The 25,233-nt window shown below is 48.2% G+C and overlaps 2 protein-coding genes across 7 annotated transcripts in view, besides 7 other annotated features; both read left to right on the forward strand.

Moving 5' to 3' along the window:
• The window catches only part of GPATCH1 (G-patch domain containing 1), a 49,362-nt gene extending 36,366 nt beyond the window's left edge, over positions 1-12,996 (forward strand). Inside the window, exons 16-21 of one of the 2 annotated variants that reach the window (NR_135270.2) lie at positions 1-121; positions 279-495; positions 1,464-1,571; positions 7,559-7,656; positions 9,042-9,187; positions 12,584-12,996. Coding sequence is in view for 1 of the 2 variants with exons in the window: in NM_018025.3 (NP_060495.2) it covers positions 279-495; positions 1,464-1,571; positions 7,559-7,656; positions 9,042-9,187; positions 12,584-12,614 (600 nt within the window). In the remaining variant the exon portion in view is untranslated. The remainder of the gene's footprint in view (positions 122-278; positions 496-1,463; positions 1,572-7,558; positions 7,657-9,041; positions 9,188-12,583) is intronic. The other variant, NM_018025.3, reaches the window with a different exon arrangement.
• Positions 904-1,073: an enhancer, noted in NCBI's record as "experimental_51054 CRE fragment used in MPRA reporter constructs". NCBI's record gives its function as "activates a minimal promoter by MPRAs in K562 erythroleukemia cells, with activity observed for the non-introgressed 19:33609441 variant allele {active_cell/tissue: K562}" and the evidence as "EXISTENCE:reporter gene assay evidence [ECO:0000049][PMID:34662402]".
• Positions 9,767-9,936: an enhancer, noted in NCBI's record as "experimental_51091 CRE fragment used in MPRA reporter constructs". NCBI's record gives its function as "activates a minimal promoter by MPRAs in K562 erythroleukemia cells, with activity observed for both the introgressed and non-introgressed 19:33618304 variant alleles {active_cell/tissue: K562}" and the evidence as "EXISTENCE:reporter gene assay evidence [ECO:0000049][PMID:34662402]".
• Positions 11,503-11,647: a silencer, noted in NCBI's record as "fragment chr19:33619955-33620099 (GRCh37/hg19 assembly coordinates)". NCBI's record gives its function as "represses an EF-1alpha promoter that drives an FKBP-Casp9 reporter gene in an ReSE screen in K562 erythroleukemia cells {active_cell/tissue: K562}" and the evidence as "EXISTENCE:reporter gene assay evidence [ECO:0000049][PMID:32094911]".
• Positions 14,405-14,574: an enhancer, noted in NCBI's record as "experimental_51096 CRE fragment used in MPRA reporter constructs". NCBI's record gives its function as "activates a minimal promoter by MPRAs in K562 erythroleukemia cells, with activity observed for both the introgressed and non-introgressed 19:33622942 variant alleles {active_cell/tissue: K562}" and the evidence as "EXISTENCE:reporter gene assay evidence [ECO:0000049][PMID:34662402]".
• The window catches only part of WDR88 (WD repeat domain 88), a 43,686-nt gene continuing 33,020 nt past the window's right edge, over positions 14,568-25,233 (forward strand). For all 5 annotated transcript variants that reach the window (NR_135565.2, XR_007066581.1, XM_011526449.3 and 2 more), the window contains exons 1-2: positions 14,568-14,899; positions 20,131-20,241. Coding sequence is in view for 3 of the 5 variants with exons in the window: in XM_011526449.3 (XP_011524751.1) it covers positions 14,624-14,899; positions 20,131-20,241 (387 nt within the window). In the remaining 2 variants the exon portion in view is untranslated. The remainder of the gene's footprint in view (positions 14,900-20,130; positions 20,242-25,233) is intronic.
• Positions 17,212-17,331: a silencer, noted in NCBI's record as "silent region_10490". NCBI's record gives its function as "represses an Ori minimal core promoter by ATAC-STARR-seq in GM12878 lymphoblastoid cells {active_cell/tissue: GM12878}" and the evidence as "EXISTENCE:reporter gene assay evidence [ECO:0000049][PMID:35858748]".
• Positions 17,412-17,461: an enhancer, noted in NCBI's record as "active region_14438". NCBI's record gives its function as "activates an Ori minimal core promoter by ATAC-STARR-seq in GM12878 lymphoblastoid cells {active_cell/tissue: GM12878}" and the evidence as "EXISTENCE:reporter gene assay evidence [ECO:0000049][PMID:35858748]".
• Positions 18,904-19,043: an enhancer, noted in NCBI's record as "active region_14439". NCBI's record gives its function as "activates an Ori minimal core promoter by ATAC-STARR-seq in GM12878 lymphoblastoid cells {active_cell/tissue: GM12878}" and the evidence as "EXISTENCE:reporter gene assay evidence [ECO:0000049][PMID:35858748]".

Here is a 25,233-nt window from a genome sequence, read left to right on the forward strand (position 1 = left end):
GCCTCCCAAAGTGCTGGAATTACAGGGGTGAGCCACCACGCCTGGCCCGGTTTTGCTTCTTTGACCTCATCAGCACATTGTACAGTTGTTGACTCGGAAACACCACAAAAATAGAAGCTATGTGAGTGATCACTGTTTAGTTGGGTGGTGTGTGGCTATGGATACCCATGTACATGAGCATAAACATAAATATGTGTGTCTGGGAGTGTATTCTAGAATGTCTCCTCCCTTTTACCCTTGCCTCTGTATCCCTGACTCTTATTTCACTGTCAATACAGACCGTCAACAAAGATGTGGACGCACAGGCTGAAGGAGAAGGGAGCCGCCCATCCATGGACTTATTCAGGGCCATCTTTGCCAGTTCCTCAGATGAAAAGTCCTCATCCTCCGAGGATGAGCAAGGTGACAGTGAAGATGATCAGGCAGGCTCTGGGGAGGCCAACTTCCAAAGCTCCCAAGACACTGACTTGGGGGAAACATCATCTGTGGCTCACGGTATGTCAGTATTTCAGACTCGGGGATCTAAAGGAGAAGACAATGACTCTAGGACAGCTGCTTCTCTGTTTACTCTATAATCTTAAACCCGAATGATTAGCAATCAATGATATGTAATCTTTTATATGTATATAATTTTTTTTTTTTTTTTTTTGGAAACAGGATCTGGCTCTGTCCCCAGGGTGGAGTACAGTGGCGCAATCTTCGGCTCACTGCAGCTTCCACCTCCTGGGCTCAAGCAATCCTCCCACTTCAGCCTCCTGAGTAGCTGGGACTACAGGAATGTGCCACCACCCCTGGCTAATTTTTGTATTTTTAGTAGAGATGGGGTTTCACCATGTTGGCCAGGCTAGTCTCTAACTCCTGACCTCAGGTGATCTGCCCACCTCAGCCTCCCAAAGTGCTGGGATTACAGGCATAATCCCAGTGCCCGGCTAGTTTTCCAGACTTTTAAAATTTTTATATCTCTTCTATCTGAATATATAGTAATCTGCTTAAAAAACAAGATTATTAACGTGAATATGATCATTTATCTTCAAGGTTTTTTCTTTGATAATTTATTTTGAGTGAAACTTGTCTCCCGCAGTTCTCTGTGATGGGACATACATAGTCTTACATTCCTGATGGTTTGTAAGATTTTCCTTCTCAGATGGCCCTTTCTTGGGGACACATTTCTACTTTTCAGGTCTTAGGGGCGCTAGGCTACGTGCCCACGGGTGCACTTGGCACGCTGTACCTCAGCCATTGCTGCCCTTGGTTGCAGGTGCCCTCGTGTGACTGACTTCCAGCTCTGGAGTTCACAAGGGCAGCACCGGGGTCTGCGTGTTCACTGCTGCATCCTTAGCACCTGGCAGGAGTGAAGTGGTGTGGGCAAGCATATGTTATCTGGTGGCAAAAGACATGAATGAAAGACTCAGAGACATTAACATGGGGCAGACGAATGACATGAACACCCCGCTGTTTTTCAGCTCTTGTGCCAGCACCCCAGGAGCCGCCACCTTCCTTCCCGATACAAAAGATGCAGATAGATGAAAGAGAAGAGTTCGGCCCGCGGCTGCCTCCCGTCTTCTGCCCCAGTGAGTGCAGAGCCCTTTGGTTCGCCCATTTTTATCAGTGTGTGATTGCCCTGAGATGGGGACAGTGTGACTTAGAGCCGACCAAACATACGTGCTTGCTTCTGGTTTATATGTTTTCAGTCATATTTTAAACCCGTTGTCTCCACCTAGTGCCTGAAATGATAGTTGTTTCTATACACCTTCAGAGACCTCCAAACTTTATTTCCTTTACCTGCCACATGTTTACAGGAGGGTCCTAAGTATCTTAAGTTTTGTTATAGAAATATAAGTTTCCCAACAGAGCTTAAAGAAAAAGAGCCTGGCCGGGCACAGTGGCTCATGCCTGTAATCCCAGCACTTTGGGAGGCCGAGGTGGGCGGATCACGAGGTCAAGAGATCGAGACCATTCTGGCCAACATAGTGAAACCCCGTCTCTACTAAAAATACAAAAATTACCTGGGCGTAGTGACGCACGCCTGTAGTCCCAGCTACTCTGGAGGCTGAGGCAGAAGAATCGCTTGAACCCGGGAGGTGGAGGTTGCAGTGAGCCGATATTGCACCATTGCACTCCAGCCCAGGTGACTGAGTGAGACTCTGCCTCAAAAAAAAAAAAAAGGGGCTGCAGCCAGGCACAATGGCTCTAGCTGGGCTGGTGGCTCACACCTGTTATCCCAGCACTTTGGGAGGGCGAGGTGGGAGGATTGCTTGAGGTCAGGAGTTTGAGACCACCCTGGTGAATTTGGTGAAAGCCCATCTCTACTATAATTTTTATAAAAATTATAAAATTTTATAAAAATATAAAATACAAAATTATATATTTTATATATAAAAATTATATATATTTTTATATTTTATAAATTTTATATATTTTACAAATTTATATATTTTATATATTTATATATTATATTTTATATATTTTATATATTTATATATTTATATATTTATATTTTATATATTTATACTTATATATATATAAAATATAAATTTAAATATTTAAAATAAATATATTTTAACTTAATTTAAATATATTTCTAAATATATTTAAATAAAATATGTAAATATTTAAAATAAATATATATTCATATATAAATACATATTAAAATATATTCATATAAATATATATATTTAGATATTTTATAAATTTTAATATATTTTTATAATTTTTTATATATAACAATTATATATAAAAATTATATATAAAATTATATATTTTATACATAAAAATGATATATAAAATTATATATAAAATTATATATTTTTATACATTAAAATTTTATAAAAATATAAAATATAAAAATTAGCCAGGCATGGTGGTGTGTGCCTGTAATCCCAGCTAGTAAGGAGGCTGAGGCACCAGAATCATTTGAACCTGAGAGGCAAAGGTTGCAGTGAGCCGAGATCGAGATCGCGCCACTGCACTCCAGTCTGGGTGACAGAGCAAGACTCTGTCTCAAAAAAAAAAAAAAAAAAAGGTAAAAGAGGCTGGGTGCGGTGGCTCATACTTGTAATAGCAGTTTGGGAGGCCAAGGCAGACAGATCGCTTGAGCCCAGTAGTCCGAGACAAGCCCAGCCTGGGTGACACAGGGAGACCCATCTCTATTTAAAAAAAAAGGGTGGGCACGGTGGCTCACGCCTGTCATCCCAGCGCTTTGGGAGGTCGAGGTGGGCAGATCACGAGATCAGGAGATCGAGACCATCCTGGCTAACACGGTGAAACCCCATCTGTACTAAAAATACAAAAAAATTAGCCGGACGTGGTGGCATGTGCCTGTAGTCCCAGCTGCTGGGGAGGCTGAGGCAGAAGAAGGGCGTGAACCTGGGAGGCGGAGCTTGCAGTGAGCCAAGATCGCACCACTGCACTCCAGCCTGGGCGACAGAGCAAGACTCCGTCTCAAAAAATAAATAAATTAATTAATTTAAAAAAAATTAAAAAAGAAAAAGAGAAATTAAAAAAATAGTATACAAAATTGGAGGGGAATTGCAAGAAGAGTATTTAAGACTAATATATTTTTAAAATTTTATTTATTTATTTATTTATTTTTCAGACAGGGTCTCACTCTGTCACCTAGGCTGGAGTGTAGTGGTGCTGTCATAGCTCACTGCATGACTTCTGGGCTGAAGTGATCCACCCACTTCAACCTCCCACAGTGCTGGAATTACAAGCGTGAACCACTGCACGCAGCCAAGCCTCCTTTTTTTGTCTTTTTCTTTTTCTTTTCTTTTCTTTTTTTTTTTTTTTTGAGATGGAGTTTTGCTCTTGTTGCCTAGGCTGGAGTGCAATGGCGCAATCTCGGCTCACCGCAACCTCCACCTCCTGGGTTCAAGCGATTCTCCTACCTCACCCTCCCAAGTAGCTGGGATTACAGGCATGTGCCACCATGGCTGGCTAATTTTGTATTTTTAGTAGAGATGGGGTTTCTCCATATTGGTCAGGCTGGTCTCGAACTCCTGACCTGAGGTGATCTGCCCGCCTCAGCCTCCCAATGTGCTGGGATTTTAGGCGTGAGCCACCGCACCCGGCCGCCAAGTCTCCTTTTTACTTTAGCTAATGTAGCAAATACAATAAAATGGTCCTCTCAGAAGTAAATACAATCTATCCCCCATTCTGTTCCCCAAATATCTGTCAACAACTTCCATTTAGTTGCATCTTAAATTGGCATTTCAAGTTAAAACATTTACACTGGTTTATCATCTCTTTGAGGGCTGGGTTTACAAACATCTATAACATGGCCCAGATATATAACTAACATAAAAATATCATTATTCACTTTATAGTTTCTCATGGTGCCCATATGTGAATACTGGTTTGATTAGCTAACTGCTTTCAAAGACAGGATTAAAAAGCAGAGAAAAAAAGTATGAAGTTTTGACAAATTGCAGTGAATGTATTTCTTATTTGCTATAGTTGTTCAGCACTTTTGTTTTATTTTGTTTTGTTTTGAGACAGAGTCTCACTCTGTCACCCAGTCTGGAGTGCAGTGGCGCGATCTCGGCTCACTGCATCCTCCACCTCCCAAGTTCAGGTGATTCTCCTTCCTCAGCCTCTGGAGTAACTGGGATTACAGGTGCCTGGCTAATTTTTTGTATTTTTAGTAGAGACGGGGTTTTACCATGTTGGTCAGGCTGGTCTTGAACTTCTAACCTCAAGTGATCCACCTGCCTCAGCCTCCCAAAGTGTTGGGATTACGGTCGTGAGCCACTGTGGCCTGGTTGTTCGGCCCTTTAGTTTCTTTTTTTTTTTTTTTTGAGACGGAGTCTCGCTCTGTCACCCAGGCTGGAGTGCAGTGGCGCAATCTTGGCTCACTGCAAGCTGCGCCTCCCAGGTTCACGCCGTTCTCCTGCCTCAGCCTCCCAACTAGCTGGGACTACAGGTGCCTGCCACCACGCCTGCCTAATTTTTTTATTTTTAGTAGAGATGGGGTTTCACCATGTTAGCCAGGATGGTCTCGATCTCCTGAACTTGTGATCTGCCCGCCTCAACCTCCCAAAGTGCTGGGATTACAGGCGTGAGCCACCACGCCCGGCCGGCTCTTTAGTTTCAAACTGGTATCAGCACTTGAAAGCCAAGTCTTTTATGTCCCTTTACCATAATGTCTTTGATACCCTCGTAATAGTGACTTAATTTGGTCTATGGGTTATTTAGGGAAATGATTTTTGAAAAAAACTAGTGTTAAAAAAAAGTTTTGGGCTGAGTGCGGTGGCTCACGCCTATAATCTTAGCACTTTGGAAAGCTGAGGTGGGAAAATTACTTGAGTCTAGGAGTTTGAGGCCAGCCTGGGCAACATAGAGAGATTGTATCTCTTAAAAAAATAAAAAAGAAAAAAATTAGCCTGGTGTGGTGGTACATGCCTGTGGTCCCAGCTACTCAGGAGGCTGAAGTGGGAGGATTGCTTGAGCTCAGGAGGTGGAGGCTACAGTGAGCTATGATCCCACTGCTGCACTCCAGCCTGGGTGACAAAGCGAGATGCTGTCTCAAAAATAAATAAATAAATAAATAAATAAATAAATAAATAAATAAATAGCTGGGCACGGTGGCTCACGCCTGTAATCCCAGCACTTTGTGGGGGCCAAGGTGGGCGGATCACCTGAGGTTGGGAGTTTGGGACCAGCCTGACCAACATGGAAAAACCCTATCTCTACTAAAAATACAAAATTAGCCAGGCATGGTGGCACATGGCTGTAATCCCAGCTACTTGGGAGGCTGAGGCAGGAGAATCGCTTGAACCTGAGAGGCAGAGGTTGGGGTGAGCTGAGATCGCACCATTGCACTCCAGCCTGGGCAACAAGAGTGAAACTCTGTCTCAAAAAAAAAAAATTAAAAGAATTTTGGAAAAAAAAAAAGTTTTGGGAGGTTGAATTTTGAAAAATCTGGTTGGGCATGGTAGCTCACACATGTAATCCCAGCACTTTGGGAGGCTAAGGTCAGAGGATCCCTTGAGTCCAAAAGTTCGATAACAGCCTTGGCAACATAGGGAGACTCTCACTTCCACAAAAAAATTAAAAAATTAGCCGGGTATGGTGGTACATGCCTGTAGTCCCAGCTACTCGGGAAGCCGAGGTAGGAGGATATGTGAACCGAGGTCAAGGCTGTAATGAGCTGTGATTGCACCATTGCCCACCAGTCTGGGAGACAGAGCGAGAACCTAAAAAAAAAAATAAATAAAGAAATAGGACTACAAAATTGCAGGCATCTGTTAACTGAGTTGAGAAAATATTCACCCTTACAAAACATCTTGAAACTTTCCTTTTTTTTTTCTTTTTTTCTTTTTTTTCTTTTGAGAAGGATTCTTGCTCTGTCACCCAGGCTGGAGTGTAGCACGATCTCGGCTCACTGCAGCCTCTGCCTCCTGGGTTCAAGTGATTCTCCTGCCTCAGCCTCCTGAGTAGTGGGGATTACAGATGCATGCCACCACGCCCATCTAATTTTTGCATTTTTAATAGAGACAGGGTTTCACCGTGTTGGCCAAGCTGATTTTGAACTCCTGACCTCAAGTGATCCGCCCACCTCAGCCTCCCAAAGTGCTGGGATTACAGGCATGAGCCACCGTTCCTGGCCGAAACTTTTCTTTAGGTGAAAAAAATTGATTTAATGCCTTTCACTGCTTCTACTATTGTGAAATTTTGTTGATTTAGTTACCCAGAAATTAATGACCTATGAAAACATTTTGGTCTGAATTTGGAGATGGAGAATTGAGGCACATGCAAATTCTTTAATGATTTTTAATGATTATATACATTATTATTATTTTTTAAAGTTAGGTAGAGATAGGGTCTCACTATGTTGCCCAGGCTGGCCTTGAACTCCTGAGGTCAAGGATCCTCCTGCCTGGGCCTCCCAAAGTGTTGGGATTACAGGCATGAGCCACCGCTCCCAGCCCATTATGTTGTTTTGATGGTAGTTTTTTCAGTGTTTCCACTTGTAAGACAAATTCTTATAAAATACGTTTTTGTAGAGAGAGGAGGATATAAGAAGAGCTAACATTTAGGTGCCAGATTCTGAGCTTCGAGAATCATGGACATGGCCCTGTCTAGTCTAGTCTGTGTCCCTAAAAGGATTGGGATTCTTATTGTCCCCATTTTATAGTTGGGGAAACTGGGCGTGGGAGAGGTTAGGCGACGTGTCGAAGATCACAGTGCTGGCAGCAGAGCTGAGTTCCAATTTTGGTCTGTTTCTGAGCTTATCTGATGATGTTGGATTACAAAAGGCTTTGTGGGCTTTCTGGTCCGACTTTATCTGCATCTGGCAGCTGGGGTCACGGCAGGATACTGATTGGATCACACAGGTCTTTGTTGAGGTCTCTGACAGCTTTCTAAGTACAACTCTGCAAGGTGGTGTGCTAATCTGTTTCTCAGTGAGGCAGAAGCTAATCCAAGGGCAGGAGTTCTTCCTCAGTGTTAAACATTCCATCTACACTAGATGCCTGATTCAGCAGTTTAGGAGCTTAGTTTTGGATAGTCTTTGTTTTCGTGCTATATAGGTCCTGTGTTTATTACCTTTGTGTTTCAGATGCTCGTCAGACACTTGAGGTTCCTCAAAAAGAGAAACATAAAAAGAACAAAGACAAGCACAAGGCCAAGAAAGAGCACAGGCGGAAGAAAGAGAAGGTGAGAGACTTGTGTGTACCCCAGGATCAGTGTGGGGTGGGACCCGCTGGTCAGCCCCCAGGAGTGTCATATACTGCAGCTGAAGAGCGGATCTGGTGGCCAAGTCACAGTTCTCTCTGAGACTTAACAGAAATGTTGACATTCAATTCAAATGCTTGATTTTTCAGAAACATTTTCTTTTGCACTTAAACGCCCCCCCGCTTTTTTTTTTTTTGAGATGGAGTCTCACTCTGTTGCCTAGGGTGGATGGAGTTCAGCTGCAACCTCTACCTCCTGGGTTCAAGCAATTCTCCTGCTTCAGCCTCTTGAGTAGCTGGGACCACAGGTGTGCACCACCACACCCGGCTAATTTTTTGTATTTTTAGTAGAGATGGGGTTTCACCATGTTGGCCAAGCTGGTTTTGACCTCCTGACCTCCGGTGATCTACCTCCCAAAGTGCCGCGATTACAGGCATGAGGCACCATGCCCAGCCCTTAAAAAAACTTTTTTTGTGAACATTAAAAAGCAGAAAAAAGGGCATTTAGGGATCTTAGAGCAATGGGTGAATATTAAATAATAAAACAATTTATTTCTTATTTATTCAATGTTAAGTGAAGGTATTATTTTCAGCATTTCTCAGCTACTTTGTCTTTATTAGTTTGAGATTTTAGTCCGTCACTTGCCGTTTGAAGTAAAAGAATTCGAATGGAAGGCAGGCATGTGCTCCCACTGTTGACGTCTCTTATTTCATCAACCATGTCTTCTTTTGGGTTTCAGCACAGGCTTTTAATTAGGTTAATGTTCTTGTTGGGTACCCAAAGTAGTCTGGGCTAGGTGCTGAAGAAATTAGAAACAGTTTCCTTACTGGCCACCAGAGGGAAGCACTCCCACGTATGGCGGATGACGGGCGTTCCCTCCTAGTGAAAGGAAGAAAATGTGTGCCGACCAAATCTGTGTGTCCTTACCAGTGTATCTGCTGTTCGGTAACCTTCTGCCAGTTTCTTCCTTGTGGTTTTCCTGGGTGCCCGTCATCCTGACATGAAGTTTCCCAGGGGTCTGACAAAATAAACAAGTCAGGTTCACCGGAGGTGGCACAGGTCACCATGCATAAGATGTGTGGTGTCACGTCTTATGACACCAAGTGTTACGATAGGTCCTGTCTGCGCCTTCTTGGTTCTGCTGTGTCTGTTGCTGGAGGCGCAGCTGGGTCAGGGTGCGCAGTTGAGAGTGGCACAGCCGTCTGCCCTGTGCTGTCTTGTTAGGCTCTCACTCTCACTCACTCTAAATGAGGTTTAAACATTTTTTTGAATGACTCCATCACTGCAGCCTTGTTAACCTTTCATTGTATTGAATTAAGGAGGAAAAAATACATTTGTTTTCCCCCACCACTATTTGTTTTTTACAGAAAAAGAAACACAGGAAGCACAAACACAAAGGCAAGCAAAAGAATAAAAAACCAGAGAAAAGTAGTAGCTCCGAGAGTTCCGACAGCAGCGACAGCCAGAGTGACGAGGAAACCGCAGACGTGTCGCCCCAGGAGCTGCTGAGACGGTGGGTAGTGGGAGATGGAGGGTTTTTCAGAAACCTTTAGAGGCTTATTGAGTGCTTGATGTGTTTGCTTAGAGGCAAATATCAGAAATGAAAAACTGGTAGGCCGGGTGCAGTGGCTCACGCCTATAATCCCAGCACTTTGGGAGGCTGAGGCAGGAGGATCGCTTGAGCCCAGGAGTTTGAGACCAGCCTGGGCAACATAGTGAGACCCCAGCTCTACAAAAACAAACAAACAAACAAACAAAAAACAAATTAGCTGGGCGTGGTGGTGCACACCTGTGCCTCCAGCTATTTGGGAAGCTGAGGTGGGAGGATCTGTTGAGCCCGGGAGTTGGAGGTTGCAGTGAGCCACTATCGTACCACTACACTCCAGCCTGGGTGATAGAGCAAGACCCTCTCCCTAAAAGAAAAAAAAAAATGTGTGTATTAACTAGGCTTTTTAAAAAGTTTGAATATCTAATTATGTAAGTGATATGTGAATATATTATCATTATGAAAATTCAGGCCAGGCGCGGTGGCTCATGCCTGTAATCCCAGCACTTTGGGAGGCCGAGGCGGGTGGATCACAAGGTCAGGAGCTCGAGACCATCCTGGCTAACACAGAGAAACCCCGTCTCTACTAAAAATACAAAAATTAGCTGGGCGTGGAGCGTGTGCCTGTAGTTCCAGCTGCTGGGGAGGCTGAGGCAGGAGAATGGCGTCAACCTGGGAGGCGGAGCTTGCAGTGAGCCGAGATTGTGCCACTGCCCTCCAGCCTGGGCGACAGAGCGAGACTCTTGTCTCAATAAAAAAAAAAAAAAAAAGAAAAGAAAATTCAGACCTTACAGCCAATGCTTAAAGGAGCCCTGACTAGTTCTCCAAACCTCTACTTTCTCCACAGTAACTTCTGCCATCAGTTTCATATGTAACCTTTAAGACCTTTTTTGTGCAACCACACACACACACATACACACTCACGTACATGGATGCACATACACATTGTTTGTTTCTTTTTTAGACGAGTCTCGTTCTGTCACCCAGGCTGGAGTGCAGTGGTGCGATCTTGGCTCAGTGCAACCTCTGCCTCCCGGGTTCAAGCAGTTCTCCTACCTCAGCCTCCCAAGCAACTGGGATTACAGGCACCCGCCCCCACACCCAGCTAATTTTTGTATTTTGTATTTTTTTAGTAGAGACAGTGTTTCGTCATGTTGGCCAGGCTGGTCTCAAACTCCTGACCTCAGGTGATACACCCACCTTGGCCTCTGAGTGCCAGGATTACAGGTGTGAACCACCATGCCTGGCCTATATACAGATTTTTGTGCACATTTTAAATATAAGTAATATAATTTTATATAGCATATATTTATAGGGTATGAATTTTATTTTATTTTTTGAGACAGAGTCTCGCTCTGTGACCCAGGCTGGAGTGCAGTGGCCTGATCACAGCTCACTGTAAACTCTGCCTCTCCGGCTCAAGGGATCCTCCCACCTCAGCCTTCAGAGTAGCTGGGACTGTAAGTGTGCACCACCACACCCAGCTAATTTTTTTAAAAAATCATTTTTTTTGAGACAGAGTCTTGCTCTGTCACCCAAGCTGGAGTGCAGTGGCGCGATCTTGGCTCACTGCAAGCTCCACCTCCTGGGTTCACGCCATTCTCCTGCCTCAGCCTCCTGAGTAGCTGGGACTACAGGTACCCGCCACCACGTCCAGCTAATTTTTTGTATATTTAGTAGAGACGGGGTTTCACCGTGTTAGCCAGGATGGTCTCAATCTCCTGACCTGGTGATCCGCCTGCCTTGGCCTCCCAAAGTGCCGGGATTACAGGCGTGAGCCACCACACCCGGCCTAAAAAAATCTTTTTTGTAGAGATGGGATCTCCTATGTTGCCCAAACTGGTCTCGAACTCCTGGCCTCAAGTGATCCTCCTGCCTCAGCCTCAGGCGTGAGCCGCTGCGCAGGCCTGCTCTTGCCAGTTTTATCTTTATTGGGAAGAAGGGTGTTGTGTGAATTCTTTGAGTGTCTGGCTTCTGAGATTCCTTCAGATGATGGTAGGCAGCAGTGAGGGGCTTGTAGTCATTGCTGTGGAAGATTCCTTCTTGTGAGCACACCACGGTATGTTTATCTCTTCTGTTGTGTGGATACTGGGTTTTTTACTTTGAGTCTGTGGAGCAGGGATTTTCAGCCAGTGTGACCCAGCTCTGTTTCAAATAGAACTGCCACGAACATTCCTATATGTATGAAATTCAGATTTAGGCCAGGTGCGGTATCTCACGTCTGTAATCCCAGCACTCTGGGAGGCCGAGGCAGGCGGATCATGAGGTCAGGAAATCGAGACTATCCTGGTTAACACAATGAAACCCCAAACCCCATCTCTACTAAAAAAACTAGCCAGGCGTGGTGGCACGTGCCTGTAGTCCCAGCTACTCAGGAGGTGGAGGCAGGAGAATCGCTTGAACCTGGGAGGTGGAGGTTGCAGTGAACCGAGATCGCGCCACTGTACTCCAGCCTGGGTGACAGAGACTCTGTCTCAAAAAAAAAAAAAGAAAAGAAATTCAGATTTAAGACTGACAACTTGGGGGCTGGGCATGGTGGCTCATGCCTGTAATCCCAATACCTTGGGAGGTCAAGATGGGAGGATCGCTTGAGCCCAGGAGTTCAAGACCAGCTCGGGTAATATAGGGAGACCCTGTCTCTATAAAAAAATTAAAAAAAAAAAAAAGACAACTTGGATGCTTTGGGCCCTGGAGTGAATGTATTTTAGTTCCTTCCCAAGGGTCATGCAACGGATGCGGTAGGTGAGTGAAACTGAGATTAAAAATTGCTTGTATTCTCAAGGCTAAATAAGACTAGGGAAAAAAGTTGCTTTTATAAGTGGTCTTAATACGAGGTGTGGGTGAGTGAGTCTCTGTGTGTTTTCAGGGTAATAGAAGAAGCATTTTAAGAACACAGATTGGCCGGGTACGGTGGCTCATGCCTGTAATCCCAGCACTTTGGGAGGCCGAGGCGGGCAGATCACAGTCAGGAGTTCGAAACAAGCCTGGCCAACATGGTGAAACCCCATCTGTACTAAAAATACAAAAATTAGCTGGGTATGGTGGCATGTGCCTGTAATCCCAGCTACTCTGGAGGCTGAGGCAGGAGACTTGCTTAAACCTGGGAGGCGGAGGTTGCAGTGAGCTGAGATCGCACCACTGCGCTCCAGCCTGGGCGACAAAAGTGAGACTCCATCTCGGGGGAAAAAAAAAAAAAAGCACAGATTAGGCAGTACTTCATTGTGGGTTATTGTGAGTGCATTTTGTAGGTGCAGACATGCTGCTGTGATATGGGGAGGCCTGGCATTCTCAGCCTCCACGGAGCTGTTTGGTTTTTCACTTTAGCTAACTTTCCATTTCTCTCTTTTCTGTTTTCTTTTCCAGGCTGAAAAGTCTTCCACTAAGAAGGCAGTAATTGAATGCTGCCCTGGCTCGTCCTAGAATCATTTCTCCTCCATGATGGAAGCCCAGTGATTGTTCAGTTAACGCATTGTACAGAGTGTATTTATATGTAAATTCCTGCTGTAAAATAATTTTTAAAACCTTGACATTTCAAAGACTGCCTTGAAAGGTCGCAGAAATTGATTTCTATTTTTAATTTCAGTTAGTATCGGGGGAAAAAAATCCAGACTGAACAGTTTAATTAAAGTGGAATTTTTCTATTTTCTTCTTGATTTTTAAAAAATTTCCTGGGACGTTAAAAAAGAAGTTAAAAGTGAAGGCTTCTCTCTGGTTTTGTGATGAAGACAGCCTGGACTCACTGAAGGACAAGCGTGTGAGAAGGGGCGGTTGCGGCCCCTCCTGCCGTTTTTTGGGAGTGAAGCTCTTCCCTCTCTGGGTGGCTGGGTTACTGTTGGTGCCCAGGAAGCCCCATGGGAGGGCAGAGCCAGGGCCTGGCAGGGGGCCTCAGCCTCTCAGGGTAGATGTCACTAAAGTGTCTGAGACAGGCAGGGAAACCAGGCAGGAGAATGTGCACCCACAGCCTGGGTTACACGGCTGCAGCTCCCTGCTCTGAGGCCACCTCATGTGTACCAAGGAGACCTTTTTGAAAAATAAAGTGCAGACCAGGTGTGATGGCTAATGCCTGTAATCCCAGAGCTTTGGGAGGCCGAGGCGGGAGGATTGCTTGAGCCCAGGAATTCCAGACCAGCCTGGGCCACATAGAGACCCCTGTCTCCACAAAAAATAAAGTATTGAGCATTTGTATTTTACATTATGAAAGTAGCATCATAGATCACAACAATTTTAAAAGCAGAAAGAAGGAAGAGGCCGGGTGCGGTGGCCCATGCTTGTAATCCCAGCACTTTGGGAGGCCGAGGCCAGCGGATCACTTGAGGCCAGGAGTTCAAAAACAGCCTGGCCAACATGGCGAAACCTTGTCTCTACTAAAAATACAAAAAAATTAGCCAGGTCTGGTGAGCATACACCTGTAATCCCAGCTGTGTGGGAGGCTGAGGCACGAGAATCCTTTGAACCCTGGAGGTGGAGGTTGCAGTGAGCCGAAATTGCGCTACTGCAATCCAGCCTGGGTGACAGACTCTTGTCTCCACCAAAAAAAAAAAAAAAAAAAAAGAAGGAAGAAAATCACTTTTAGTTTTATCATCCAAAGATGACACCCTTCTTCAATATTTTGAATAATTCCACCCTGTCCTTTTCTAGCTATGGGGCTGTTATCTGACTGGTGGTAGCATTTTATTCCCTGTCACTGTTGTTGGGGTTGTGACAGATATTTCCCTCATCTATTATAAATGTTGTAAACCCACCCCTAATAACTGCATCTTATTTCATGCAGGGGCTACCCCATAACTTACTGACCTTTTCTGTTTTGTCATGAAGTGGGTTGGCCAGGAGCTGTACCCAGGCAGAGGACATGAAGAAATTGCCCTGTGACAGGAGCCAGGGAAACCACAGCGGAGGGCTGGAGGCTGGGGTGCTGGTTTTGCTGGCTCGGCCTGGTTCCCAGAATGCAAAGCCCATTTTTCTTTTTTTTGCAACCTCCACCTCCTGGGTTCAAGCCATTCCCCTGCCTCAGCCTCCCATGTAGCTGGAACTACAGGCGCACGCCCCCATGCCTGGCTAATTTTTGTTATTATTTTTTTTAAGTAAAGATGGGGTTTCACTAAACCTGTTGGCCAGGCTGGTCTCCAACTCCTGACCTCAGGTAATCCGCCCGCCTCGGCCTCCCAAAGTGCCGGGATTACAGGCGTGAGCCACCGCGCCCGGCTGCAAAGCCCATTTTTCTATAGGTAACCTGTGCTGCGCGGGGTGGCACTAGTTTTCACCCAGCGGGCGAGGAGGCAGCGAAGTCGCGGGCCCAGCGTAGCGCGCGCCTCCGAAGGGCTTGGTGCGGGCGCGGGCGCGGGCGCGCGGCGCCACCGTTCCCATCCAGGCTTGTCGGCGGCCACCGGCGGACCGGGCTTCGAGATGGCCTCCCCGCCGCGGTGCTCCCCGACAGCCCATGACAGGGAATGCAAGTTGCCGCCACCCTCCGCCCCCGCCAGCGAGTATTGTCCCGGCAAGCTGTCCTGGGGGACCATGGCGAGGGCCTTAGGCCGCTTCAAGCTGTCGATCCCGCACACGCACCTGCTGGCCACCCTCGACCCCCTGGCCTTGGACAGGGAACCACCACCGCATCTGTTGCCTGAGAAGCACCAGGTGCCGGAGAAATTGATCTGGGGCGACCAGGACCCTCTCTCCAAGGTCAGAACCGCCGCTGGGGTGAGGGGGCACTGGCCTGTTCCCCACACGGGAGGAAGGCGCTCGAGCTGTCGGGGGACCCATGGAAAACCCACCTGGCTTCACCAGGACCCCCAGCGAGGCCCTAGGCCCATTTCCCCATCTGTGGTACATCTGTGGGCAAAGGTCAGACCCACCTGAGCAGGGCGTGCTGGGGATGCCGGCGGGGGCTCCCCGCACTGCCACCTGCTGGGGAACCAGGACTCTTCGCTGGGAGGAGGCTCTGCCCCACCATGTGACCCCATCTAGACCTTGGAGTCTCCGTAGGTAGGCCCACCCACAGTGATGCTCCTAATTGCAGCCCAAGGGTCGGTGGCTCAGCTCTCCCCGTCCAGGAGATACAGTTAGCGTCAGAAGAAACGGGAAACTCAGAATAATAATAACAACAATGAATTGGGCCAGGCAAGGTGGCTCACACCTGTAATCCCAGCCCTTTGGGAGGCCCAGGTGGGAGGATCACTTGAGCCCAGGAGTTTGAGACCAGCCTGGGCAACATAGTGAGAGGTCGTCTCTACAAGAAATAAACTTAGCCCAGTGTGATGGGGCGCACCTGTGGTCCCAGCCACTTGAAAGGCTGAGGCAAGAGGATCCCTTGAACCCAGGAGTTTAAGGCTGCAGTGAGCTATGATTGTGCCACTGCACTCCAGCCTGGGCAACAGAGCGAGACTGTCTCCAGAATAAATAAATAAATAAATAAATAAATAAATAAATAAATATAGAGAGAGAGAGAGAAAGAAAGAAAGAAAAAGAAAAAGAAAGAAAGAAGGAGAAAGAAAGAAAAACTGGCTGGGTGCAGTGGCTCATGTCTGTAATCCCAGCACTTTGGGAAGCCGAGATGAGCAGATCACTTGAGGTCAAGGGTTCGAGACCAGCCTGGCTAACATGGTGAAACCCTTTCTCTACTAAAAATGCAAAAATTAGCCAGGCATGGTGGTGCGTGCCTGTAATCCCAGCTACTCAGGAGGCTGAGGCAGCAAGATCATTTGAACCCGGGAGGCAGAGGTTGCAGTGAGCTGAGATCATCTCACTCCATCTCAAAAACAAAACAAAACAAAAACCCAATAAAGAACATTCTCAATAAGTAGCGTTTCATGCTTGGCCTTGATTTATTGCACTCACATGCAGATGTCAGAGTGTGTTTTTAATAATTTCCTCGAAACCTCTGCCTGGCTTCCCAGCATGTTTAAGATGAAGTCTGGCGATCTGCCTGTGGCCTTCCAGGCCATTTCAAATCTGGCACCTCTCCATGTTCTCCTCCCCCATCCCCCTGTCTTGCTGACCTACAAGCAGGTCTGGCCTCAGGGATCTTGGCGGTTCCCTGCCCCCACGGTATTGCGCTCTTGGGGAGGCCCTCCCTGACCGCCCGTCTAAAGTAGCCAGGGCCACTGTCTCCTCCGTGCCTCATGCCATGGTCTGACATCCCCGTTCCGTCCTCAAGGTGTCCTCTGGCTGCCAGCAACTGGCCCCTCGAGGTTAGGGACTTTGCTCCTAGGTGGCTGCTGAGCTGCAGCATCAGGTCCAGGCCCCATGGGGGAGGAGGCTCTTGAGGTTTATTTGTGGAATATGTGAATGAACGCTACGCATAGAAGAACCGTTTTGTTTTTGCTCTGTCCTCTGCATGAGCTTTGTCAGCACCTCTGAAATGTACTCATGTGTTGGGGACTTCTCTCTGCAGCCCCTGGGACCCCTTTACCTAGTGGATCCCAAGGGACTGTGTGCAGAAAAAAACCTGAAACGAGAGCCCCAGAAAAGCCTGTGGTGGGGGTAGCGGAATGGTTCCCCCCTCTTGCTAATGTTTTTCCATGATGGAGTTCTAGGTTTTTTGTTTTCCTATTTTTTAAATTAAATTATATATTTTTTAAATTATTAATTTTAATTTTGATTTTTTTTGTAGAGAGGGGGAGTCTCGCCATGTTGCCCAGGCTGGTCTTAAACTCCTGGCCTCAAGCAATCCTCACTCCTGGGCCTCCCAAAGCACTGGAATTGCATGCGTGAGCCACTGCACCCAGCCAATTTAATTTCAATTTTTAATGATAGTTGGGTTTTCCTAATGAGAGAGATAACCCAAACCCTGCAGGGGCGGCAGGGGCTGGGGTCGCCAGAGGCGGGGGCGGTGCGGGAGGGCCGCGCAGGTCATGTCCCGGGGACTGGGGCCGCTCCTGGGGTAGGGAGCCAACCCTGCACGCGCGGCCCCGGCCTGGCCCGACGGGGTTAGCGAACTCCCCCGGAGAAAAGCCCGGTCCCAGCTCTCCACGCTCCCTGGCAACGGAGCCCGCGTTCCAGTGTCCTCGTGTCCCCGAGCCCCCTAGAGGCGGGGTATCATCTCATCCCCTGCATCTCCACCTGCACGTCCCCGACACCCCCCCCCCCGCCCCGCATCACCTGCAACCGGAAGGCCACCGCCGCCCTGAACCGTCGCATCCCCTCACCCCTGTCCTCCTGCCAACTCAGCCCAGCACCCTGACACTGCCTTCCAGGCCACACCCCTGGTCTTGCCTCCAACATTTCCCCCACCCCCACACTTCCGCAGCTCAACCTGGGACGTGTCGCCATGCGCGAGCTGGGGTGGGTGGGTGGGGGGGGTGACATCTTCAGGCTTCCCTGCTCTGTCCTCTTTTTTTCCCCCCAGTTTTACTGAGATATAATTCACGTACCATATAATTTAACCATAGAAGCTGTAGTGGTTTCTAGGGTATTCAGAGTACTGTACTCCCCAGTTCCCCAATACCCATCCTGCCGACACCAGGCAATTCTGCTTTCTGTCCATAGATTTGTCTATTCTAGACCTTTTATAGCGATAGAATCAAGCCATACGTGGTCTCTTGTGACTGGCTTCATTTCCTTAGCTAACGTCCTCAAGGTTCATCCATGTTGTAGCCTGTAGCAGTGCTCCCTTCCCTTTTCATTACCAAGTAATATTCTGTTGCATGGCCATGACACATTTTCTCTTTCTTTGAGATGGAGTCTCGCTCTGTTGCCCAGGCTGGAGTGCAGTGGCGTGATCTTGGCTCACTGCAGCCTCTGCCTCCCAGGTTCAAGCGATTCTCCAGTCTCAGTCTCCCAGTAGCTGGGCTTACAGGCATGTGCCACCATGCCCGGCTAATTTTTGTACTTTTAGTAGAGACGGGGTTTCACCATGTTGGCCAGGCTGGTCTTGAACTCCTGGCCTCAGGTGATCCACCCACCTTGGCCTCCCAAAGTGCTGGGATTACAGGCGTGAGCCACTGCGCCTGGCCGAACCGCCCGTTTTTCAAAGTGGCTGCACTACTTTACGTTCCTACCAGCAATGTAGGAGGTTTCCAACTATTGGCATCCTTGCCAACACTTGTTATGGGACTTTGATGATAGCCATCCTAACAAATATGACACAGTATCACACTTTGGTTTTCTTTTCTTTCTTTCTTTCTTTCTTTTCTTTTATTTTTTAAGACGAAGTCTTGCTCTGTCACCCAGGCTGGAGTGCAGTGGCATGATCTCAGCTCACTGCAGCCTCTACCTCCCAGGTTCAAGCGATTCTCCTGCCTTAGCCTCCCAAGTAGCTGGGATTAGAGGTGCCCAACACCACACTCGGCTAATTTTTTTTTTTTTTTTGAGATGGAGTTTTGCTCTTGTTGCCCAGGCTGGAGTGCAATGGCACGACCTCGGCTCACTGCAACCTCCGCCTCCCGGGTTCAAGCGATTCTCCTGCCTCAGCCTCATGAGTAGCTGGGATTACAGGCATGCGCCACCATGCCTGGCTAATTTTGTATTTTTAGTAGAGACGGGGTTTCTCCATGTTGGTCAGGCTGGTCTCAAACTCCCAACCTCAGGTGATCCACCTACCTCAGCCTCCCAAAGTGCTGGGATTATAGGCATGAGCCACCGTGCCTGGCCTAATTTTTGTATTTTTAGTAGAGATGGGGTTTTGCCATGTTGGCCAGGCTGGTCTTGAATTCCTGACCTCAGGTGATCCGCCTGCCTCGGTCTCCCAAAGTGCTGGGATTACAGGCATGAGCCACCGCGCCCGGCCACACTATGGTTTTCATTTGCACTTTCCTGATGTGGTGAGTCATGCTGAGAATCTTTTCATGTGCTATCAACTATTTTTATTTTTTCTTTTTGAGACAGTTCTCACTCTGTCACCCAGGCTGGAGTGCAGTGACATGATCATAGCTCATTGTAACCTCCGCCTCCTGGGTTCAAGCAATTCTCATGACTCAGCCTCCTGAGTAGTTGGGATTACAGGAGCACACCACGATGGCTGGCTAATTTATTTATTTTTATTTTTTATTTTTTAGTAGAGATGGGGTTTTGCCATGTTGGCCAGGCTGGTCTTAATCTCCTGGCCTCAAGTGATCCGCCTGCTTCAGCCTCCCAAAGTGCTGAGATTATAATTGTGAGCCACCACATCCCGCCCTTGCATATCTTCTTTGGAGATATATCTATTCAAATCCTTTGCCCATTTAAAATTTTAATTTTTATTATTTAAAGGCAGGGTCTTGCTCTGTCACCCAGGCTGGAGTGCAGTGCTGCAATCATAGCTCACTGTAACGTTAACCTTCTGGGCTCAAGTAGTCCTCCCGCCTCAGCCTCCTGAGTGGCTGGGACTACAAGTGTGAGCCACCATGCCTGGCTCATTTTCTTTCTTCTTCTTTTTTTTTTTTTTCCAATTTTGTACAGACAGTCTCACTATGTTGCCCAGACTGGTCTTGAACTCCTAGGCTCAAGCAGTCCTCCTGCCCCAGCCTCCCAGAATGCTGGGATTACAGGGATGAGCCACCGTGCCCAGCCAGAATTTTTTTTTTTTTTTTCAGATGGAATCTCACTCTGTCACCCAGGCTGGAGTGCAGTGGTGCAATCTTGGCTCACTGCAACCTCCGCCTCCTGTATTCAAGTGATTCTCCTGCCTCAGCCTCCGAGTAGCTGGGATTATAGGCATGCGCCACCATGCCCAGCCAAGTTTTGTATTTTTAGTAGAGATGGAGTTTTGCCATGTTGGCCAGGCTGGTCTTGAACTCCTGACCTCAGGTGATCTGCCTGCCTCGGCCTCCCAAAGTGCTGGGATTACAGACGTGAACCACCCCCCTGGCCAGAATTTTTTAAATTCATTTTTTTCCGGGTGGTTTATTGCAAGTGTTTAGAAATATAATTAACTGTTGTACATTGATTTTGTGTCCTGCAACATGTTTAGCTCATCTGGTCTCTCCTTTTTTCAGATCCCATTTAAAATTCTGAGTGGGCACGAGCACGCTGTGAGCACCTGCCACTTCTGTGTGGATGACACAAAGCTCCTCAGTGGCTCCTATGACTGCACTGTGAAGCTGTGGGTAGGTGGCCGGCTGTTAGGTACTCCTGGAGCGAAAACCTTTCCTAAGCTTAGGCACCTCCTGTGTCGAGTTCCCCAGCACTGAACTCACAGGCACTTGTGGGTCCTGGTTTGCAGGTCTTCTGAGCAAAGTGCCAGAAGGAGGAGAGGGTGAGAGCCCAGCCTAGACGAAGTTAGGGTGGCTGCTGCCAGCTTGCAGGCCTGGAAACAGTGGGAATGGGATGGAGACCTCTGGACTGAGAGTGCCACACATTTTTTTTTTTTTTTGAGACGGAGTTTCGCTCTTGTTACCCAGGCTGGAGTGCAATGGCGTGATCTCGGCTCACTGCAACCTCCGCCTCCTGAGTTCAAGCCATTCTGCTGCCTCAGCCTCCCAAGTAGCTGGGATTTCAGGCATGTGCCACCACACCCAGCTAATTTTGTTTTTTGTTTTTTTGTGTTTTTTAGTAGAGATGGGGTTTCACCATGTTGGTCAGGCTGGTCTTGAACTCCTGACCTCAGGTGATCCACCCACCTCGGCCTCCCGAAGTGCTGGGAATATAGGCATGAGCCACAGCGACTGGCCCTTTTGTTTGTTTGTTTGTTTTTGAGAACAAGTGTTGCCCAGATGGAGTGCAATGGCGTGATCTCAGTTCACTGCAACCTCTGCCTCCCGGGTTCAAGTGATTGTCCTGCCTCAGCCTCCTGAGTAGCTAGGACTACAGGTGTGTGCCACTACTCCTGGCTAATTTTATTTTTTTAGTAGAGACAGAGTTTCACCACGTTAGCCAGGCTGGTCTCGAACTCCTGACTTCAGATGATCCACCTGCCTCAGCCTACCAAAGTGCAGGGATGATAGGTGTGAGCCACCGTGCCTGGCCCCCACACCTTTTTTTTTTTTCCTTTCTTTTCTTTTCTTTTCTTTTTTTTTTTTTTGAGACAGAGTCTTGCTCTGTCGCCCAGGCTGGAGTATAGTGCCACGATCTCGGCTCACTACAACTTCCGCCTCTGGGTTCAAGTGATTCTCCTGCCTCAGCCTCCCTAGTAGCTGGGACTACAGAGGCACGCCACCATGCCCAGCTAATTTTTTATTTTTAGTAGAGACAGGGTTTCACTGTGTTGGCCAGGATGGTATCAAACTCCTGGCCTCAAGTGATCTACCTGCTTCGGCCTCCCAAATTGTTGGGATTATAGGTGTGAGCCACTGTGCCCGGCCACCCCACACACCTGTCAGAGAACGGAAGTCCTGGCTGTGTTTGGGGCCTAGGATGTCATCTCTCTGGGTCTCCTTCTCATCTGGAAAACTGAGCTCCATCCACAGAGACTGGATGGCCAGGTCTGTGTGGTCACAGAGGACAGAAAGGTGTCCAGGCCTGGGACCTGTTCATGAGGGGTGGTTGGAAGAGGCAGGCCTGGGTGCAGATCAGCACCCCAAGGTGCAGCAGGCAGGGGCACCGGGGATGGGGCTGTGAGGTTCACATGAGGTTGCAGAGGTGGCTCCTGGAGCCCTTCTGGGGACTGCAGGGCATGGCCAGCAGGCCCAGGCAGTGCAGATCACTCAGGAGGGCTGGGGAGGAGCAGGGCTGGGGGAAGGCAGTGGCCATGAGGCCAGGCTGCAGAAGGCTGTGTGGCTGGGGCTGGGACTCATGGGAGAGGACGGTCAGTTGTGAGTTTTGCAGCATCTGGCTTCAGGGACAGGAGTGGAGGGAGTTGAGGCTGGTTCCTGGGTTCTGGTTTGGGTAACGGGGAAGAGGATAGCCCCTCACCCTACAGACGACCTCAAGGGAATGTTTTCTCTGGTATTTCCTGCTAGGGGGACAGATACTCGCATGAAGATCGGAAATAAAGACATCAGTTGAGTGGTTCTTAGGATGGTACAGGCAAAAGGATTTAAGGGTTTGGAACAGAGGATTTTTTTGAGACATTATCAGTCAATCCCCACTATTGTCTGTTTTTGTTTGTTTGTTTGTTTTTAATGAATTTAAGACCATTGGCCTATAACTTCATACTTGCTCTTTTGTGAAATGGAAATGGGAGAAAATATGCATACACACACACACACACACAGCCACAAGATATAATCTGTGCCAAGGGCATGACAACTGGGCAGGAGGGTTTGTGGTGGACCCCACGTTTAGGACTTACCAGCTGTGTGACCCTGGGGGGTTGCATGACCTCCTGGGCCTCCCTGGGTCTGCCCATGCTGCACAGGACCAGTTGTGTGAAGGGGCTGCCCCGGGGCTCAACTCACCTCCACTCCCGCCCTCCGTAGCTGTCCTTATGGACACCTGGCCCACAGAGCCCAGAGCCTCAAGATCTTGTTAGAAAAACTGCTGGTTTCTCTGGGAGCCTCACCCCCACAGCCCACAGGATAACACTAGAGGAATTTTTTCTTTGTTTTGTTTTAGAGACAGAGTCTTTCTCTGTCACCCAGGCTGGAGTGCAGTGGTGCAATTACGGCTCACTGCAGCCTCAACCTCCTGGACTCAAGCAATCCCCCCATCTCAACACCCCGAGTAGCTGGGACTGCAGGAGTGCACCACCACACCTAGCTAATTTTTTATATTTTATATTGTAGAGATGAGGGTCTTGCTACATTGCCCAGGCTAGTCTCAAACTCTTGGCCTCAAGCAATCCTCCCGCCTCAGCTTCCCAAAGTGCTGGAACTTCAGGCATGGGCCACCAAAGTCCCAGTTTCATAGATGTATGCGGACATGTGTGGACAAGAAAAAAAGACACGTCGGCTGGGCGCAGTGGCTCATGCCTGTAATCCCAGCACTTTGGGAGGCCGAGGCGAGCAAATCACCTGAGATCAGGAGTTCAAGACCAGCCTGACCAATGTGGTGAAACCCCGTCTCTACTAAAAATACAAAAATTAGCTGGGTGTGGTGGCAGGTGCCTGTAGTCCCAGCTACTCAGGAGGCTGAGACAGGAGAATTGCTTGAACCTGGGAGGCGGAGGTTGCAGTGAGCCGAGATCGCACCACTGCACTCCAGCCTGGGCGACGGTGGGAGACTCCGTCTCAAAAAAAAAAAGAAAAGACATATGCCAACATATTCACAGCTGTTAACTCTGGGGTCATGGAAGGATGAATGTTTTTCTTTCTTGTGTTTTCTGTAATAAAATCATATTACCTTTGTAATAATATGAGAAAAACTACCAAACTTACATTTTTTTTTTTTTTTTTTTGAGACAGGGTCTTGCTCTATCACCCAGGCTGGAGTGCAGTGGCAAGAACACAGCTCACTGCACCTTTTACCTCCTGGGCTAAAGGCATCCTCCCATCTCAGCCTCCCAAGTCGCTGGGACCACAGGCACACACCACCATGCCTGGCTAATTTTTTTGTTTTTCGTAGAGACAGGGTCTCACTACATTGCCCAGGCTGGTCTCAAACTCCTTGGCTCAAGCGACTCTCCTGCCTCAGCCTCCAAAAGTGCTGGGATTACAGGTGTGGGAGCATGTTTTTTTTTTTTTCTTTTTTGACACAGGATCTCACTCTGTTGCCCAGGCTGAAGTGCAGTGGTGCAGTTATGGCTCACTGCAGCCTCAACCTCCTGGGCTCAAGTGATCCTCCCACCTCAGCCTCCTGAGTATCTGGGACTGCAGGAACAGGCTGCCATGCCCAGCTAATATTATCATTTTTTGTAGAGATGGGATCTCCCTGTGTTGCCCGGGCTGGTCTTGAGCTCCTGGCCTCAAGCCGTCCTTCCTCCTTGGCCTCCCAAAACACTGGGATACAGCATGAGCCACCAAAACCCAGCCCCAAACTTATTTTTAAATGACCAGAAAAAAGGTGGCAATATATTAGAGGGAGATTGGGCATAGGATGAAGAATATTTTTCCCAGCTTCTCTGTACATTTATGGACTTTCCAAGTTATTCACAATAATCTCCAATGAGGGGAAAAGGGTTTTTTGTTTGTTTGTTTTTTTGAGATGGCGTTTTGCTCTTGTTGCTCAGGCTGGAGTGCAGTGGCGTGGTCTCGGCTCACTGCAACCTCTGCCTCCTGAGTTCAAGCGATTCTCCTGCCTCAGCCTCCCAAGTAGCTGGGATTACAGGCACCTGCCACCACGCCCGGCTAATTTTTGTATTTTTAGTAGAGATGGGGTTTCATCATGTTGGCCAGGCTGGTCTCAAACTCCTGACCTCAGGTGATCTGTCCGCCTTGGCCTCCCAAAGTGCTGGGATTACAGGCATGAGCCACTGCACCTAGAGGAAAAGGGGCTTTTAAAAGATTTAAAAGGTATTTGGATTTGAGGTGTTGCTGGGGGCAGGGACTGGAAACGGGGTCAGTGGGTGAGGCAGAGAGGGGAGGCCAGGGGAGATTTTGGCCAAGATACTGTGACAAGAGGAGATGACTGTGTAGGGTTATGGGTTCACCCTCTACGGAGGGACATGGAGCGCATGGTGGGAGCCACAGCTGAGGGTCTCAAGGAGCCAGCAGGGGGGGACGAAGATGGAAGAAGAGAGCCAGGGGAGGAGACAGGTCTCTGGAGTGGCAGCCAATGGGACCAGCTAAGGCAGGGGCTCAGAGGAGAGGTGGCGATTTATGGGACAAGGGGCGAAGGCACTAGGAGGGCAGAGGGAGGGAGCACAGGGATGAGGGGCTGCCTGGAGAAAGTGGTGGAGGGAGGAGGGCTGGAAGCAGTCTGTGGTGCGGGTGGGGAACACTTGGATGCACTTCCTGGGACATGGAGAAGGACGGCTCATGGGAAGGAGGGCATATGAGGTGGCAGAGGTGACAGTGCCTGCATTGTGGATGGGGCATGGAACAGGCAGGGAATGAGAGCAAGAAGGCTGTTGTGGGGACCGAGGGCCTCTCCAAGATTAGGGTCTCTAATCTTGGGACAACAACCAAGGTGAAAACAGGCATCTTTCCCTTCATGGAGACAAGAGCCCTTTGGCCAACACAGACAGCAGTCCCGGGGGGCCCTTCTGCCGACTCAAAAGGGGAAAGAAGGGCCGGGCGTAGTGGCTCACACCTGTAATCCCAGCAATTTGGGAGGCCCAGGTG

Source organism: Homo sapiens, chromosome 19, assembly GCF_000001405.40.
Source record: "Homo sapiens chromosome 19, GRCh38.p14 Primary Assembly".
Taxonomy (NCBI): domain Eukaryota; kingdom Metazoa; phylum Chordata; class Mammalia; order Primates; family Hominidae; genus Homo; species Homo sapiens.